This window comes from Homo sapiens, chromosome 17 (genome assembly GCF_000001405.40).
Source record: "Homo sapiens chromosome 17, GRCh38.p14 Primary Assembly".
In the NCBI taxonomy this organism is placed as follows: Eukaryota; Metazoa; Chordata; class Mammalia; order Primates; family Hominidae; genus Homo; species Homo sapiens.
The window spans coordinates 69,794,914-69,813,640 of record NC_000017.11 but is presented as its reverse complement, the minus strand read 5'-3'; the positions used below and the strand labels follow the sequence as shown (position 1 = coordinate 69,813,640).

Here is an 18,727-nt window from a genome sequence, read left to right as displayed (position 1 = left end):
AATCAATTGAAAAATTAATATCAAGAGCAACTAATTTTGGTTTTGTCTCTCTCCTCTGTCTATCTGTTTCTTTTTCTCCTCCTCCTCCCCTCTCTCTCCAGATACCAACGTGCCTGTTGGAAGCAAAGTGAAATGTCTTATTAAAGTGACTTTTTTTCTATATTTTAATCTTACATATAACTTTATACACTCTTATGATGATTTTACATTTAAGAGTACCTTATATGGCATTAGTTCCTTATCTTTAGCTGTTTCATCCCGCCCATTACATTCATCCAAATAAGATTAATTAAGTCATTATTATATGCAAGTCATCCCTCACTAGCAATTGCGGGATTGACTGCAGGATGCCTGTAGATATCAAAATCCAAGGATGCTGAACTCTAGTATATAAAATGGCAAAATATTTACATATAACCTATGTGTACTCTCCTGTATACTTTAAATCATCTCTAGATTACTTATAATACCTAATACAATGCCTACACATGACTTCATTCACAGGGATTCAACATAGTAGTACGTTTAGCATGGCAAATTCAAATTTCACTTTTGGGAACTCTGGAATATTTTTTCTAAATATTTTTGGTCTTCAGTTGGTTTAATCTGCAGAACCCATGTATATAAAGGGCCCACTGTACTAGCACTGGGTGAAGCACTGGAGACGTAGAAGTATAAATAAGGTATCACTGACCTCCAGGAACTTACAATCAATCTCCTTCATAAGCACATCTATTCAAGAGAAGCCTTTGGAGAATGCAATTATCTTACCTCCATCAGCTTCTAATATATAATCAGGCACTTACGGGTTTATTAAAGAAGAGTGGTAGTGATACCAGTGTGCTAAGGGAGGTCCTCAAACACCAGTGGGATGTCAACCCCAGTGGTTTCAAGGCTCTTGACACCATCGTGAGAAGGAATTCAAGGATGAGTCAGAAAATAGTGAAAAGTATGGAGATGTATTGCAAAATGAAAAGTACACAAGAAATAAAGAGGGGTGTGGGTGCACTCAGGAGAGTGAGTTGTGCAATGAGGTTTGAGGTTTCTACCTTTATGGGTTTGTTTAACCAAGGAGTGGAATATTTATGAAGATTCTTGGAAAAAGGTAAAGATTTCTTGGAAGTACAGTGCCACCCATTTTTACACTAGATATACGTGTTCCCAGAACTGTCCTGGTGCTGGTGGGTGTGTAATTGAGAATGTTAATGAGCAGATAATGAGGTCCTAGGTGAAACCTAGGTCAAATCTAGCACTATGTAGGGACCAGTCAGTCTTAGCCAGCTTGGCCCACACTCTGGTTTTTTAGGGGTTTATCAGCTATTACCTAACATACACAGCTATTTCACCGGCTTCCTTTTGCTAGTCATGTAAAACTGCTGCCTGAAATTTTCTATTCTCCTGCAATCACCCTGTATTATTCCTGTCTCAGTAGAGTAAAATGATAACTCACTCTTACCCTCACGCTTACATCATATGCATTTTTTCTGGTAACCAAGTGGTATCGATGCTGTCAAATTATTATACATTATATCATAACATGTAAGGTATAGTGACAAAAACTGAAGTTTGGAGTCAGACACAGCTTTTGATGCTGAATCTGTATTTTTGTTTTACCTGGGCTGGCGCTGCCTTTAGAAGGAGTCATCTGTACTTGATTGTACTTCACTATCTAATTCTAAACTCATAAGCAATCAAAACTCATTTTCTCCCTGATCATATCTCATGTTCAAGCAAATCCAAGTATTTTCAGCCTCAGGAAACACACCTTAACTTCTAATCTCCATGACTTTGCTCATGCTATCTCTTCTGCCTAAAACATCTTTCTAATCACCTGTGTCTGGCTACTTCTTGCTCATTGTTTAAGATGATGCCTAGATGTCACCCTCACAAAAATTTTTTTTAGTCCTGAAGATTGATTTTAGTACCCTTCCTATGTACTCTCATAATAACTACCAATTCTTTCTCATTGCAGTCTAAATGAAAAAAAAGTGATTTATTTATCTTTTCTACATAACTTCATGGTTTTCTAATCTCTATACATTTGATTTCTAATATGAAGGTAAGATAATCAGCCTAGAATCAGTAGGCCATATATAGTATCATTATTTTAATAACAATGATGAATTTGCCTAAGCCAAATATATACCCAATCAGCAGGCTTAAGGAAGAGGAGTGGCCTCAGAGAAAAGGTAAATATTTCAAAGAGTCCTACATAGTTCCAGCTAAAGAGAAATAAATCTCTAACTAGATAGTAGATAATGTAATTTCGACAATGATAAAGAAATTGTATTATCATGATAACCAGAGTAATCTCAGAAAATAGCAAAGACTAAAACTGCCCATGAAGACATAATGGAGAACTAAAAGAAGTCTGTTTGCGTTACAAATTCATCAATTTTTAGAGGTCGTTCAAAGTTTTTATTACACAAGTTTAGAACCTCAGGCCAAGAGATGATATGATATTCGGAACTGCCTACTGTTTTGATGAATTATATTAGTCAGAGTTATCTGGAGAAATAAGATAGATAGGATACATATTATATATCCTATTTTATAATATAAAATAAATAGGATATAAATATTAAATATTATATAAATATTTTATACATAATGAAGATTATAATATACAGTATGCATAGAACCAATAGTGTGAATGTGTGCATATACACATGAGATTTATTATGGGAATTGGCTCACAGTCTTATGGAGGATGAGAAGTCCCATGATCTACCATATGCAAGCTCAAGACCTAGGAAAGTCAGTGATGTAATTCAGTCTGACTCAAAAAGCCTAGGAACAAGGGAAGATGAGGATGTAAACCCCAGTCTGAAGGCAGGAGAAGGTGAGATCAGATGTCTCAGCTCAGTGAGCCAAGAAAAAAAAAAAAAAAAGCAAATTCCTTCTTCTTCTACCTTCTGTTTTATTTCTTCTTTTTCAATGGATTAGATGATGCCCCCCGCCCCCGCCCCATTGCGGAGGGCAATCTACTTTACTGAATCCACCAATTGGAATGGTTGTCTGATCTGGAAACACCCTCACAGATACACCCAGAAAGAATGTTTACTCTGAGCATCTCATGGCCCACTCGAGTTGACACATAAAATTAATCATCACATGAATTCGACTTTGTTTCACAGGCCAAGCACTCTACAGTATCAGCCTCAACACTAGGTCATCATAAACAAGAAAGGTACCAGCTAATACTCAACCATTTCAGTGGTTCCTACTCTTGGCTGAATGTCAAAATGAAATTGGGAGTTAAAAAATAACGGATTCCTGGATCACATCTCAGATCTTACAAGATGAAAATTTCTTGAGCGTAGACACCAAGCCTAATACTTTTTAAAGTTCCAGGGTATATTCTTATATATCTTTTCTCACCTCAGTCACTGGACCAGCACTGGGGAACCCTCTTATATCTGAGACACATTTTGAGACACAGCCCTAGAAAGAAACCTTAAAGGCATGAAGTAAAGAAAATAGGTGAGGGTCAAAATCAGAAAGATCTATCAAAATGGTAACAATAAACAGTAAATTTGAAATTAGTAAATAGATATCTTTTACATGGCTAAAAATAAGCCTTCGTATTTTAATAAATTGTTTTTATGAATGCAATGAGAAAGCTCTCATAGATAAGGTCTCAATAGCATGCAATACTACAATATAGAGGAAGTTATATGAATATTTGTATGCTAAATTTGTCTCAACTCACAGATACAATGGTGTATGAAATACAATACAGTACTTATTTTTCCACTTCGTACACACAAAAATACAGGATTATTGGCATGTTAAGGTTTTCCTTCCATTTTCAATTGATGGTCACCAAAACAGCTGTAAACAAACTAATCTTTCAGAAAAGTTTTTAACAAAGCAAAAAAAAAAAAAAAAAAAAGGAAGAAGTCTCACTCAGAGAGGCATTCTCCCAAATTACTAAAATTATATTCATTTCAGAATTAAATACTGAATCATCTATTGTGCCAGCACATTCAGCATTTCAGGCTTAATGTGATTGTATTTGTTTACAATTCTTGTTATTACAAAACATAATGCTACTGAGACATGTTCTAACATTTCAAGCAATGTCTGGACATTACCCCCGTAGTCACAGACTGGCTACAGTTTCACTCATAGCTGAGTTATGTGCTATGCCAGCAAGAGTGGTCTGTTTTCTGAGCAGTAGGAATCTACATTGCTTGTCTACATTTTTGTAAATTTTCTCTAAAGATAATAATTGATGGCTACATGTCTTCAGCCCAATAAGAAGAAAATTGGAGAATCTGTTCATTTTAGGCAAAAACAATGATGCTTGATGCTTTAGTCAAGGTTGTTTATGACCTTATTTTATTTAATTTATAGTGCATATAGGTTATCAGTCTATGTTATTATATGACAAAATTAGTTGACAAGACATTAGAATACTGATCATCAATCAAAAAAGCAACCCAAATAATGAATACCTAGATATGCTAGTTAGCTTGGGTCACCATAACAAAATACCAGAGACTGTGCAGCTTAAACAACAAACATTCATTTTCTCAAAGTTCTGGAAGCTAAAAGAATGAGATCAGGATGCCAGCATGGTTGGGTTCCGGTGAGGGCTCTCTTCCTGCCTTGCAGACAGCCGCCTTTTTGCTGTGTCTTCAAGTGATGGCGAAAAGGAGGGGAAGCAAGCTTTCTAATGTCTCTTCTCATGAGGACATTAATCCTATCATGAGGGCCCCACATTTTTGACCTTACCTAACCCTGATTACCTTTCAAAGGCCCCATCTCCAAATACCATTTCATTAAGGGTTAGGGCTTTCACGTAAGAATTTGAGGGTGAAACATTCAGTTTATAACCCTGCAGTATATCAACAAGGCCACCCAATTATAGACAGATTATTGGGCCAAAATACCCAGGCTACTATTACTCAGTGGAGATTGAGGTAAGGATTCATGTTTAACGGCTTTAGACAAGTTAAGCCATGTTCCTGAAGAATGGGTAATCCATTTGATTGACACATGCTAAGCAGAGAGATTTATCTTAAAGGGTTTTAAACATGACTCTCATGGCCTTGGCCAGATAATTATTAATACTGCATAGAAAAGGAAAGCCCGGGCCGGGCGCGGTGGCTCACGCCTGTAATCCCAGCACTTTGGGAGGCCGAGGCGGGCGGATCACGAGGTCAGGAGATCGAGACCATCCCAGCTAAAACGGTGAAACCCCGTCTCTACTAAAAATACAAAAAATTAGCCGGGCGTAGTGGCGGGCGCCTGTAGTCCCAGCTACTTGGGAGGCTGAGGCAGGAGAATGGCGTGAACCCGGGAGGCGGAGCTTGCAGTGAGCCGAGATCCCGCCACTGCACTCCAGCCTGGGCGACAGAGCGAGACTCCGTCTCAAAAAAAAAAAAAAAAAAAAAAAAGAAAAGGAAAGCCCGGAGTGATTCTGTTAGAGAAGCAGAAAAATAGAGCTCTGTCCTGCCATTTTCTATAACAAGGAGAAAAGGTGGCCAAAAATTAGCAGAAAATATTAGATGAAAACAATGGCTTCCCAGGAACATGGTTAATATATTCAATATAAACCTTACACAGGTACATAAGCAAAGATTACGAATGCTTTAGTAGTTAATAAGTGTCCTGAGCAAGAATTGTGTAATTGTATTAGACTAAGTGGACTATCATAACAGATTCCAAAAATCTATAAGAAAATTTCAGTTCTGGCCTGAACTGTATCTGTAATGTTAATAGTTAAGAATTATCACCAAATTTCTAGGAAGGAAAAACTGAAGATTCATAATAGAAAACAATTTCAATGCCAAAATTTTCTTGAGAAAGTTGAGAATATTTCTGAAGTATAAATTCGCATATTAAATTATGTATAGTTTCAATTACAAACTATGCTATTAGTGAATGTCAATACATTTCTTTCACCTTGATATGAAGTCCTGAGTTAAAATACCACTCTAACATTTCTTATCCATGAATAGCTGCATCAGGTGAACGCTTCCTATTAGATTCAATTTTTAGGAACCCAGAGTGAGCAAAAACAAAGCAGGTTGCTCTCCTTACAATTTTTTTTTACCCAAACTTATTTCATATTTATATGATAATAACTGCTCAAAATAATAATGTTAATAGTAAGGATTAAAATAAAAAGTGCTAACAATTCTAATTTAAAAACAAAACAAAACAAAACAAAACAGTGATGCCGATGATTTAGTTGTAAAAGATGCTGGTGGCCAGCGATAGAGATGTCTGGAATCCTACTACATGCCTAAGTTGCTATCTGAAGACAGCATACTGCAGAGGTTAGCAAATACTCTTAGATTATAACACTCTCAGTGTTTCAGAAGCTTTTTCAAGGCAACGATAGGCCAAAAGAAATAGCAATTCCATGTACTAAGTCAGGTTTAAATGACTTAGATATAGTCATCTATAGTGTCTAATAGATGTTGCTGTGTTTCTCTAGAAAAATTAAAATATCCCAAAGTAACTCCAGGAGTTTGCTTACATTATCCAAGAGTGTCTCAGTACACAGTTTGAGAACCATGGGTATATTGCATAGGTTAATTCAGGTTTTCGAGCCACACTACCTGGATTTGAATCTGGTCACCACTAACAATTATATATGTAACCTTGTGCAACTTGTGTGACTTGTAGTTAAACTTTCATACTTTGGTTACTCAATTATAAAATGGATTTGATAATAATACTTTATGGAGTTGTTATTATGATCATTCAATCAATAAAATCTATGTACAATTAAAATGCCTGGAACTTAGATCAATAAATATTAGCTATTTTGTTATTATTGAGCATGATATATCAAATAATATTCTCATTCTTGTGATTGCAATAGATTTATAGAATACAAGAGATTCTTAGAAAAAGCTGTACATAAGAATGGATACAAGTTTTCACCTCTCCCTTATTTGTAACAAGCTGGAGTTACAAAGTTCTGAAGATAATCTTACCAAGGGATTCTCATGGGTATTTCCTCCCAAAACATACCAGAAGTGGAACTAAGTCTTCCATGCTGTTCCTCCTTGAAATAAAATTCTTGTGTATTTTGTTTTTTGTTTTTTTTGAGATGGGTTCTCTCTTTGTTGCCAAGGCTAAAGTGTAGTGACATGATCACAGCTCACTGCAGCCTCTACCTCCCCCGGGTTCAAATGATGCTTCCACCGTGGCCTCCCAAAGTGCTGGGATTATAGGCGTGAGCCACCACGTCCAACCCCTTGTTTTAATTAGTGCTTGAGTCATGCAAATAGTTGGAGTTTCCTCAACTATAATGTCTCTATATCTTTAGCATCTAATTAAATGCAAAAAGAAATGCAAGAAGTTAGCCAAGCTTTTGACTGTAGACGTGAAGATTTTCCAGCCCACTCAATGAACTAGCATTTCACTCCTGCACTTTTATCAGCAGAAAAAGGTAGTGAGATTATGATGCCTTTGAAAAAAGAAATTGCCAATAAAGGAAAAGAGTAAATGTAGTGAAATTTTGCAGATATGTGTGTAGTTCACTGCATGTACTTTGTTTTGTTTAACCACTTAATTGGTTTATAGTTGTAGGATATAGCTTTAGAGAATGGAAAGCACATGAATTCCAAAGTGTGGTCATTGCCTAGCTCATTTTTAATACTAACATGATCTTTTGGCAATTTTATGATGATATAAGCTATATATTTCTATTACAAAGATTGTCTTTTTAAGCTTTGGCAACTGGTTTACAATCTTCCTCTTCAAATTAGGAACCCATAACATTTGTAACAACCTCATTATCTGTATTATCAACCACGGTAGATTAAATTATTTGTTCACCATGTTTCCGTAGAAGCAAAATGTACTTATTTTGCCCCATTGGTTTTGGGGTAGGTCCTGTAACTTTCTTTGACCATTGGAATTTAAATGAATAGGAGGTATACTGCATATGGGCTGAACCTCAAGGTACAGCTTTATTGTTTGATTCTGTCTCATTCCTTTTGTCCTGACCAACAGAACAGCATATTCCAAACACTGGCTGCTTAACGGGTTTGCACACAGACCTGAGCCCAGCAGAGCCAGGTCATAACCAACTTCATCCTGACATCAATGAAAGAGGATGTCTTTTTTTGCAAGCCCCTGAGATATTGAGGTTGTTTGCCACCACCGCAAGAGTTGACTAATACCCATTAAAACTCTACTTGAAAATTACTCTAATCTCCTCTCCCTTCACGGCATTCATCTCTATTATTCAAAAGCTTACTATACATGTAATCATTATTCCCCAATTTCTTTACTTCTGAAATTTTAATTTCCAGGATTTTACTCCCTTTCTTACTACAATGTCCTGACTCTTCAGATTCTCCAACTTTTTCACTTCTTTGCTCCCTCTGCATGCAGCCTTAAGATGAATTGAGATTTCTGTATCTTTAACATCTCATATTTTATTCACTCCATTACCCAGTTCATGGGCCCTACTTCTTCCTCTTCCTAGCCTGGTGCCAATGGTGCTTCCTTCTATACTATTTATGCCATTAACTCTCCAGGGAACAATCCTACAATTGCCCCCTCTCTTTTTCTATATCCATTCTAATTTATTCTGGAAAAAGTCCACACACCTATTTCTATCAATGGTTACTATTCTAGTTACTATTGCTACATGTCGAACTGCTCACACGGTTTTATTTATTGTATCCTTTGGATCAAGACGTTGCCCACACAGTTTTATTATTTATTGTGTCCTTTGGGTCAAGAAGTCAGGAGTAGGACTCAGCTGAGTGATTCTTCCTAGTGTTGTGTAGTTTATTGGTTACAAATAAGACATAAAGCCAGCCTGAATTCATGAGGAGGAGAGTTAGACGTTACCTTTTCAAAGGAGGATGGCAAGTGTTACTGAACCAAACTAGGTTATTTTGTCTGCACTCATTGGAAAACCAAACACCAAAGCACCAGTAAACTGGGAAGGACATAGGAAGAAATGCTCAAATGTGTCTCCTTGAGCAGGGCTGGGTCAGGTTTTATAAGCATAGGCTGAGATGTGATTTGATTGGATCTCACAATGAGGTGATGCCAAGAGGCATGATCTGACTGGATCCTCCCATGGGGTGACAACAAGGCTCCATTTGATTGGATCCTGGGTTCTGCTATAGGGCATCTGTTTTGTAATTCAGTCCCCACTCAATGTGAGCACTTACATTCTACCCAGGGTGCACTCTTGGTTCATCTGGGCATGCTCAGGTTATGTGACCTTCAAACTGGGGGCACAGGGCAACTGAAAAACATCTCACTGCTTCATGACATAAAAGTTGAACCAGATTGGTCTGGTGTGGTTACACAAGGCCACATCTCAACATTGCACGTAGAATGGTTAAAATTGTTGAAACCATCTATGGAAAATACAAAATGCCATTCTAGCCCCCCAAAAAGTGGATAAATGGCTTTAATAAGTTTGAATGATGATATTATATTCATCTCATATTTGTCTCAAAATTATTATGCTTATAATTTATTCTGCTCATAATTATTTGGGTCATAATCTCATTTCCTAACAAAATTTAAAACAAATGTTAAGTAACAGTCCCGAGTATTGAGAAAATCAGTAGAGTCCACTTATTTTCTAGGGGCATGGGAACAGCAGGCCACACAGACAATGTTCTACAGGTCAGGAGATCTGAATTAGAGCAAGTAGACCTGAATTTGAATAAAAAATAGCAAAGAAAAAATAACAAATCTGTGTAGGAGACTTTATTTTTATATTACATCTCATATTAGAATCAGCGGGGAAAGTCTCAATAACTAAAACGTGCTTTCTTGAAGGCTTGCTTTCATTACCTTACATTCATGACTGATAACTGTGTGTCCCATCACACCAGGCAATTTCACACACACCATTTCATTTAGTGCTGAGTTGCGTCAGGTGAGAATTATGATCCTGACTTCCATCGAAAAACATTGTAGTGAAAATAGAGCATGTAGACACACTGTAGTGTGTAGTGAAAATAGAGCATGTAAACACACTGTAGTGTGTAGTGAAAATAGAGCATGTAGACACATTGCAGTGAAAATAGAGCATGTAGTTAGTAAGTAGAAAAATAAAGATTCAAAAATGACACCTTTGTGACCCAAACCCAGTGCATGGTCTACAAACATAAGATTCATTCTGAAGAAGATGCAGAGAACTCTGTGAGTAGTAACACTAAGAGTGACAGGATTATATACACAGGGTAGATAACAACTGAAATAGCATAGTAGCAACTGCTAGAGAAGAAGTACTCTCACTGACCCACATGAAGGGATTTCTGGGCTAAAGGGATGCATGTTCAAAATAAGATTGCATATTCATGAGCTAGCCCTGCCAAAGGGCTGTACTAACTTATTTGGTCACAACTGTGAAGGAGCGTGCATCTTTCTCCCACCCTCACCAACACAGAGTAGAACAAATTATTTTCTAACATGTATCCATCTCCTAGACAAAATATATCTCATTTTATTTGTAGTAAATTGGCTATTATTGATAATGTGCACCTTATGTTTATTAATCACGTGGATCTCCATTTTTATGTATGTATACTTCATTCTTCCTGGTGCTCTAGTGAGAATACCTCTCCAGCAGCACACTACTGAGAAATGTCTTCCAAGTCCAGTATCTCAAAGGAAGTCTCTCTTCATCTCTGAGAACAGTGGGCCATTCAGTCTCCCTACACTTTCCAGCTTAAAATATTCATAACCCCCCTCTAAAACTCCATACAAAGAAAAGCCTCACATCTCTCATCACCCTAGTGTTACAGATCTTTGGGGTGTCACTTTTCTGACTGGAAACCTGTGGCCAGTCGTGCCTTTGCCCAAGTTTTGCTTGGGCCTGCTGGGCTCATTCTGCCCACTCAGCCTGGCGGGTGGTGCACAGCTCACGGTGCCAGCCTAAATCCCATAGCTTCAAAAGAGACGCAAGTCAGGTGTGGAGCAGCAATGGGTGTGTGAGTGGGTGTGGGGTCTGGCCACTGTGCAGTCAGACCCACCAGTTGCCTGCCAGCTACCATGGGGCAGGCAGCTCCAGGTGCTGTCATGGCACTGGCTCTCTGCGAGGCTGTGGCTGGACCAGGTGGACAGCAAGCCACTTCCCTGGCTGGCCCCGGGGAATGCAGTGGCACGTGAAAGCTTGGAGATGCCAGGAACTGCAGGGCCCCAGAGAGAGAGTCACAGCCCTGGCTCAGGGAGCTCCCACGTCTGGGCTGCCTGAAAGGCTGCAGCTCTTCTCTCCTTCTCTTCACCCACAATGTGACAAGAAAGGGGCATGCTTCAGCCCTGTTTGTGTTACAGCCCTTTTAGCCTCACCATTCAGCAGGCCCCAAGTTCTTGTCCTGAAACCAGGAAGAATACATTATGCAAAGTGAAGGGTGAGCCAGACAAAGAGGAGCTTCATTAAGCAATAGAACAGCTCAGTCTCCTGAAGGGGGCAGCTCCTTTCCACAGCCAGGGTGCCTTGTTGAGTGTTCAGATCCTAGCAGAGAGAGTAGCTCTGCTCTGCAGGCAGGTTGTCCCAACAAGTGTTCACTCCCAGCAGAGAGTGTAGCTCCTCTCTCCAGCTGGTCATCCCACCATCTGTGTAGCTCTCAGCAGAGAGGAGGTTCTGTAGTGGGTTGCTCCTCTCTGTAGCTGGTCATCCTGATGTCTGCAGCTCACAGCAGAGAGAAGTCCCTGGAGTGGGTGCCTCCTCTCAGCAGCCAGTCGTCCCAATGTCTGCTCAGCTTTGGCTGAGCCCAGGGCTTTTATGAGCCTCAGAAGGGAGGAAGTGTGTGCCAATTGGTCCAGGGGCAGCCATGGGCAGGCCTGGAAAAAGCACCACAAGTTCCCACTCCAGTCTGTGGGACTGGCATCCTGGCCCCCAGCTTTCAGGCCCTCCCTGTCCTGAAGGTGGGGCCTCACCAGGGACCTGTTCCCTTCCACCCAGGAACCTGCCTCTCTCCTGCAGCTGTTCATGGCTCCCAGGCTGTAGGTGCCAAGGGGCACCTGTAGGCCAGCATTAAGCTGCCTTCAGCCCCCTCATCAGCTTCTCTCCTATGCTCATCAGCATCCCAAGTCCGGAGGTGGCCAAGGCAGCAGAGGTCTGGCATGTCAGCATTGCCCTGAGCATGTGCACACCTGGCTGGGCTGTGACAGTGCCTGGGCTTGGCCCTGAATTTGCTCTGAGATTGGAACGGACACCAACAGCAGGGAGAAGCCAGCAGTGGAAGCAGCTACTTTCGAGCCTGCAAGGGTAGGGGGAGCCTTCTCAGATCCCCAAGAGTGCAGCAATGCTTGAGTCCACAGCCATGGTTTCAGCAGTTGCAGCTGGGCCTGAGGGGTGCAGGACTCCTGCCTGCTCCTAGCATCCCCAAAAGCACAAGGAGGCCTGGGTCCGCAGCCACAACGTGGGCAGCTGCAGCTGTGCCCAGAAAAGTGGGGCTCCTGCTGTTCTTTGGAGCAGGAGGCCTGGATCTGCACCCATGACTTGAGTGGCTGCAGCCCTGCCTGGGAAGGTTGAGCTCCTGCCTGCTCCATGCAACAGGAGGCCTGGGTCTGCAGCCATGGGTTGGGCAACTGCAGCTGTGCCCAGGAGGGTGGGGCTCCCACCTGCTCCTGGGCCCAGAGAGCACAGGGGTTCCCGGGTCCGCAGCTGAGGCTTGGGTGGCTGCAGTGGCACCTGGGGAACTCTCGCCCCAACTTGGAAGGGGTGGGACTCCCACATGTCCCTGGCTCCCACTGGTTCCATGGAGCAGGCAGCCCCAGCCATGCCTCCCTGCTGCAGCCAGCATGATGACAGCAGCTACTCAAGACAGCACACCACTGACATCAATAATCTCTAAGACTCCAGCATGAAGCCTCATCCATCTTCACCTGGAAACATATCCTTAATCTGCTAATCTAACCTTGTATCATGTCATCTTCCCTATAGTCCCAAACTCTTACTTTGACGTATGGAACTTGTGGCCCAAGCATGGGTAAGCACCTCTATATCTTCAATCTCTATTCTGATTTGTTCTTTCACCTTTTTTCTCCTAAGTCCACTTTAGGTCTCCCTGAGAACAGTGCCAGCTTGGCAGTTCTTTCACTGAAAGTTGATTTTTGTTTAAACCCCAAGTACCTCAGTGTCTGGAGGTGAAGGGATTATGCTTTCTTCCCTCCTAGTTGTCTCTTCTAAACTCTTTTCTCTCCTTCCTCCTTTTCTTTCCTTCCTTGTTTGAATTGAATGCAGCCAGAACATACCTATCCCCTGCCTTTATTATCATCATCTATGATCTCTCTCTCTCTCTCTCTCAATTTCTCTCTCTGTCTCCCATTTGTTGGATATTCTATTCATTGATTCACTATTTTCCTCCTTACTCCTACTTCTGTCGTTCCTGTGTGACTTCAACATGAATCCACGTGAATGCCTCATCAACTACCTTTTCCCCTCAATCTTCACTCCTTTCCTTCAATAATCTTTTCTTCAGCCTTACTTCAGCACTCCCAGGGTCCCAACCTTGGTTTTGTCATTCCCAGTAACCTCATGGTCTTCATAATTTTACTTTTAAGCACCCTACTTTCTCATTTCCATGCCCTATTCTTCAAACTTACTTGTACTTGTTTTCTCATGCCAACCATTCTGTGTGTGGTCAGCTAAACATATACTTTGTTGATCCAACAATCTTTTTGTTACTTTTATTATACCTTTCTGTGTTCGTCTGCTAGTGCTGTCCTGACAGTATCACAGACAGGATGGCCTATGCAACAGAAATTTTTTTTTTTCTCACAATTCTGGAGGCTAAGACTTTGAGGTCAAGAAGTCAACAGGGTTGGTTGGTTTCTTCTGATGCCTCTCTCCTAGGCTTGTAGATAGCCATCTTCTCCTTCTGTCTTCACATGGTCTTCCCTCTATTTGTGGCTGTGTCTTAGTTTATACTTCTTGTGAGGAAATGTGTCTTTTTGGATAAAGGCTTTTCGCTAATGGCCTCATTTTAACAGACTTGCTTTTTTTTTTTTTTTTTTTTTTTGAGATGGAGTTTTGCTCTCGTTGCCCAGGCTGGAGTGTGCAATGGCACGATCTCAGCTCACCGCAACTTCTGCCTCCTGGACTTGCTTCTTTAAAGGCCGTGTCTCCAAATACAGTCACATTCTGAGGTACTGAGGATTTGCATTTCAATGTAGAATTGAGTGGGACACAATTCCACACATAACACTCTCTCATCTCCACAGTTCCCTCTTTATCCAGCTTAGATTCCATGTTCTGTCCCTTCAGTCACTACTTTGCGAAATCCATCAGCCCCTTGCCTCTATCTTCCTCTGCTACAATAACCTAGGAAAACCCCAAACTCTGTGAACCCTGTTATTTCTTTATTCCATACTTATGCCCATGTAGTATACCTGGCAGGAAATGTATACACACATACATACAGCCACGCCATTTGGCCTCCATTTAAATTAATAACCACGGGTCATATAAGCACTTAACACTAAGCATCTTACCACATCTAGTGTTCTTCTGAAACAATTCGTTTATACTTTTTTGTATCACCTCAATTTCCACCACCTTCTTCTCTCACCACGGTTTTAGCCTCCAGTCTCGCCTCTAACTACGCTGTAGGGGAAAATAGTTATACTTTGAGGACTTCCTTAAAGAATACCACCAAGTCTAGTGGCCTATGCATGTCTGGTGGACACTGCCCGCCATACTCCCTGGCATAACCACATCTTACAGTCGGCCCTTCCGCTTCTCTTCTGGGTTCCAGCTCCTTTTACCTAATCACCAGTGAGGCTCCTTGGTTTTAACTGACCTCTCTTTCATTATCAATTTCTTTCTCCCTACAGGGTCACTTCCATCAGAGTATCAGCAAGTTTAGAATATTTTATTTTTCGGCCAGGAGCAGTGGCTCACACCTGTAATTCTAGCCCTTCAGGAGGCCAAAGTGGGCGGATTACGAGGTCAGGAGTTCAAGACCAGCCTGGCCAACATGGTAAAACCTCATCTCTACAAAAATACAAAAATTATCCAGGTGTGGTGGTGGGTGCCTGTAATCACAGCTGCCTGGGAGGCTGAGGCAGGAGAATCACTTGAACATGGGAGGCAGAGGTGGCAGTGAGCTCAGATTGTGCCATTGCACTCCAGTCTGGGCAGCAGAGCGAGATTTTGTCTCTTAAAAAAAAAAAAAAAGAATATTTTATTTTTCAAAGTGTCTTGCCCTTTATGCACTGCCACATTTTTTCTCCCCATAAAAGTAAAATTTCTGAAAGAATTGGCCATTGTGGACTTCCTTGTAACCTAATCTCTCCTTAACCCTCTTTGACCAAGACTCCATCTCCACCACTCTACTTAAACTGCCTTTCTTAGGGTCACCAGTGATGTCTGTGTTGCCAAATCCAGGAGACACTTTGCTGTATTCATTTTACTCAGACCACAGTAGGAATTTACACAGTTTGCTGGTCTTAGTTACTAAAACACCACCTCTTCTCGCTTCTGCGATACTCATGCTCCTGGTTTTCCTCCTACCTCACTGACTACTCCTGCTTAGCCTCCTCTGATGGCCACCACCCCCTTCTGCTCAGTCTTTAAACCTTTGAGTGCCCCAGGGACTAGTCCTAAGCCCCCTACTTTTCTCTTTCTATACTTTCTTTGTAAGTTTTGTCTCCAGTTCCAAGCCTTTAATACTACCCTTCTGCTGATAACTCATTTCTCTAAGTGTTTATCATTTCCCTAAGTTCCGAATTCAGATATCCAGCTGCCTGATGCATATCCATACATGTGTCTAAGAGGCCCTTCAAGTTTAGTATGATGTAAGCATATTACAGGTTAAGAAAAGTATTCCTAATCCATAACCCCACTTCACAAAACTCCTTGGTCCAACTCCCCCTCGGATTACTGAAATATACTCTGATTCATTTCCCTGTCCTCTCTCTTGACCCCAAACCTCCCCCAAACACACATAGCAGCTGGGACAATCCGTTTAAACTCACGATCTCAATATAAAACTCTCTGTTGGCTTCCCAATGCGGTAGGATGTTAGCCCTAACACTTTACAATACATACAGTGCTTCACATGACCCGGCCTTGACATGCATCTCAACCTTAATCCCCTGCCGCTCTCCCCACGTCCTGACATACAGGAAGCCAGACATACTGGCTTTCTTCCTGTCCCTCGAACAGGCCAAGATCTTTCCTATTTCAAGGTCTTTGCACTTGTTTTTCTCTCTACTTGTAGTGCTCTGCCTTCCATTTTTATACATGAGTACATATTTTCACATTTGGGTCTCAGCTCAAATAGTCCCTCCTTATTGAAGTTTTTCTGTCCACTCCCTCTAAAGTGAGCTACCAATTACTTTTAAAATAATCACCTTATGTTATTGTTGCCATAACACTTATAATCTGTTGATTGTTTGTTTGCTTATTTATGATGTTCCTTGCTTCGAAAAATGTAAGCTCCACAAGGAGAAGGTTTTTTCTTTCTACCCCTGTAAATCCCCTGTGCTTAAGCTAATACCTATCTTTCTGTATAAATGTTTATTGATTCAATGAACAAATAAATGAAAGAACGAATTCTGCCTCAAGAAATTTATCCTAATAAGATAATTGAACTACACATACAAGGATGTCTATGATAGTACTATTCAAAAGTAGCAAAGAATTAGAAACAATCTAAATGACCAACAGATCAACTCCATGACTTGTATATTACCTATGTCACAGAATAATGAATAAAAGAATAAGAATTGAATAGATTTATATTTATTGACTCGGGAAAATGTTAACTAGATATTGTTGAATGAAAAAAGCTATGTAACCAAAGCCCAAAGTGTGCACCCATTTATATAAAATTATGTCTACACAACATTATATTGAACTATGCATTAATACAATGTATGTACGGACAGATGTCCAGAATTATGTCTGGAAACATTAACAGTGATTATCTTTGAGAAATCTGGGACTGATTTTTACTTTGTTCCTATACTTTTTTGAATCATTTCAATTTTTATATGAGCATCTATTGTGTTCACAATTAGAAAAACAAAGACTAAAATTTCTACTACTAGCCTTTGGCTCATCAGATTGACAATCCTAGGATTTTTCCAAGTAATTTTTGAGAAAAAAAAAGAAGTTTTTCAATATACTTCTTCTAAAGATCTCTATTTAAAGTTTATTTTTCCTGTCTTGCTTTTCTTATTGTTATTTGAAATGTGGAAACACTGTAAGCATTGCAAAACAATAATAATAAAATAAATCAAAAAAATATTATTAGGCTAAGCTTTTCAAAGTGTATTTTAATGTAGCATCAAGCATGTTCCCATTTTTATTACTGATTATAATGTTCAACAGTCTGTGACACAACAATTCAGACTTCTTGGCAGACAGACCCCTGTTTCCATTTCTTTTAGTACAAGATGTAGGGTGTGGAAACTTTCTACTTCCTTGGAAACTCTTCTGAAAACGGGTTTTCACTCAATGCAGCCTCTAAGTGTTTAAGAGGTGACTGAATTTCTGAAAGTGGTCTGACTGTTTTAGTGCTGCTGGCAACCACTGTAACTTTCACACTATGTGAAAGGGGGAAAAATCCATATTATTAAAAATTTGCCCTAGATCTCTTTCCCATTTCCTTCTTTTTTTTTTTTTTTTTTTCATACAGAGGCCAAAATATCAGGATAATTTTTCTATGGAAACATTTAAGCTCAGCATCAAAATATTTGCTTATATGACTACACCTCTGAATAATAATGATCATATTAATCACTTAATTGTTATTGAAAAGGCAGCTACAAAAAAAAAAAAAAAAAAAAGATGCCTAAATTCCATGCAGGTTTTTCTTTTCTTTTTTTTAACCTCTGTACTGCCAAATAGAATATCCATTTCTATTCAATTTCCTGAGGCTCAATAGGATACCTAAACCCTATATATTTTTTATGGAAGAAAACAAAACAAAACAAAAAACCACTGCCTTTAATTAACTTTTTAACTGGGAAAAATATATTATAGCAATTTTTTTCAAATTAAAATAGTCTCTGTCTGCTCCTATCATTCAGAAGTTGGCTGGTGTATTAGTCCATTTCAGCTCCTATAACAAAATACCAAAAACTACGTGGCTTGTAAAAAACAGATATTGATTTCCCACAGTTCTGTAGGCTGGTAGATTTAGTGGCTGGTGAGGGCTGTGACATTCTGGCTCACAGAGAGTGACTTGTTGCTGTGTCCTTACATGGTGAAAGGCATAAAAGGGCTCTCTGGGGTCTATTTTATAAGGGCACTAATCTCATTTATAAAGTCTCCACCCTCATGACCTAATCACCTCCCAAAGTTCCCACTTTCTAATACCATCACCTTGGGGGTTAGGATTTTAACATACTAATTTGGGGGGAACACAAGCACTCCGACCATTGCAGTTGGCTTCCTAGGACAAAATCCTAAAACTAGGCAACTTTTATGTCTGATCTGGATGTAGCTATTTGCTTTGCTGGAGTAACAAGTTAGCGTTCCAACTTCCTAGAGAGTCCTTTTGCATTCTCTGCTGATGGAGTTCAGGAAGAAGCTGGCCATGAACTTTTGGGGACACTGTCTCTGTCCTCAAAGCTATCTTTCCCACTCCCTTAGCAGGGGGAAGAAGATAGGTAGACTGTGGTGAAGGATCCAAATTATCCAACATGTTTTAGGGCATAATCAGAGATGGAATATAGGTTTCCATCTGTGTGTATCACTGATTTTTTTTTCAATTCCAAAATCTCATCAGCTCCTATGACTTTGATTATCAAGTCATCATTGATG

At 40.0% G+C, this 18,727-nt stretch overlaps 1 long non-coding RNA gene across 2 annotated transcripts in view, besides 2 other annotated features; it reads right to left on the bottom strand.

The window, feature by feature from the left end:
* LINC01483 (long intergenic non-protein coding RNA 1483) overlaps positions 1-18,727 on the bottom strand; it is a 309,014-nt gene that overhangs the window by 89,360 nt on the left and 200,927 nt on the right. The window lies entirely within an intron of this gene.
* Positions 10,525-11,486: an enhancer, noted in NCBI's record as "H3K27ac-H3K4me1 hESC enhancer chr17:67798296-67799257 (GRCh37/hg19 assembly coordinates)". NCBI's record gives its function as "activates a minimal SCP1, AML or CMV promoter by ChIP-STARR-seq in naive H9 embryonic stem cells {active_cell/tissue: H9 hESC(naive)}" and the evidence as "EXISTENCE:reporter gene assay evidence [ECO:0000049][PMID:30033119]".
* Positions 11,487-12,449: an enhancer, noted in NCBI's record as "H3K27ac-H3K4me1 hESC enhancer chr17:67797333-67798295 (GRCh37/hg19 assembly coordinates)". NCBI's record gives its function as "activates a minimal SCP1, AML or CMV promoter by ChIP-STARR-seq in naive H9 embryonic stem cells {active_cell/tissue: H9 hESC(naive)}" and the evidence as "EXISTENCE:reporter gene assay evidence [ECO:0000049][PMID:30033119]".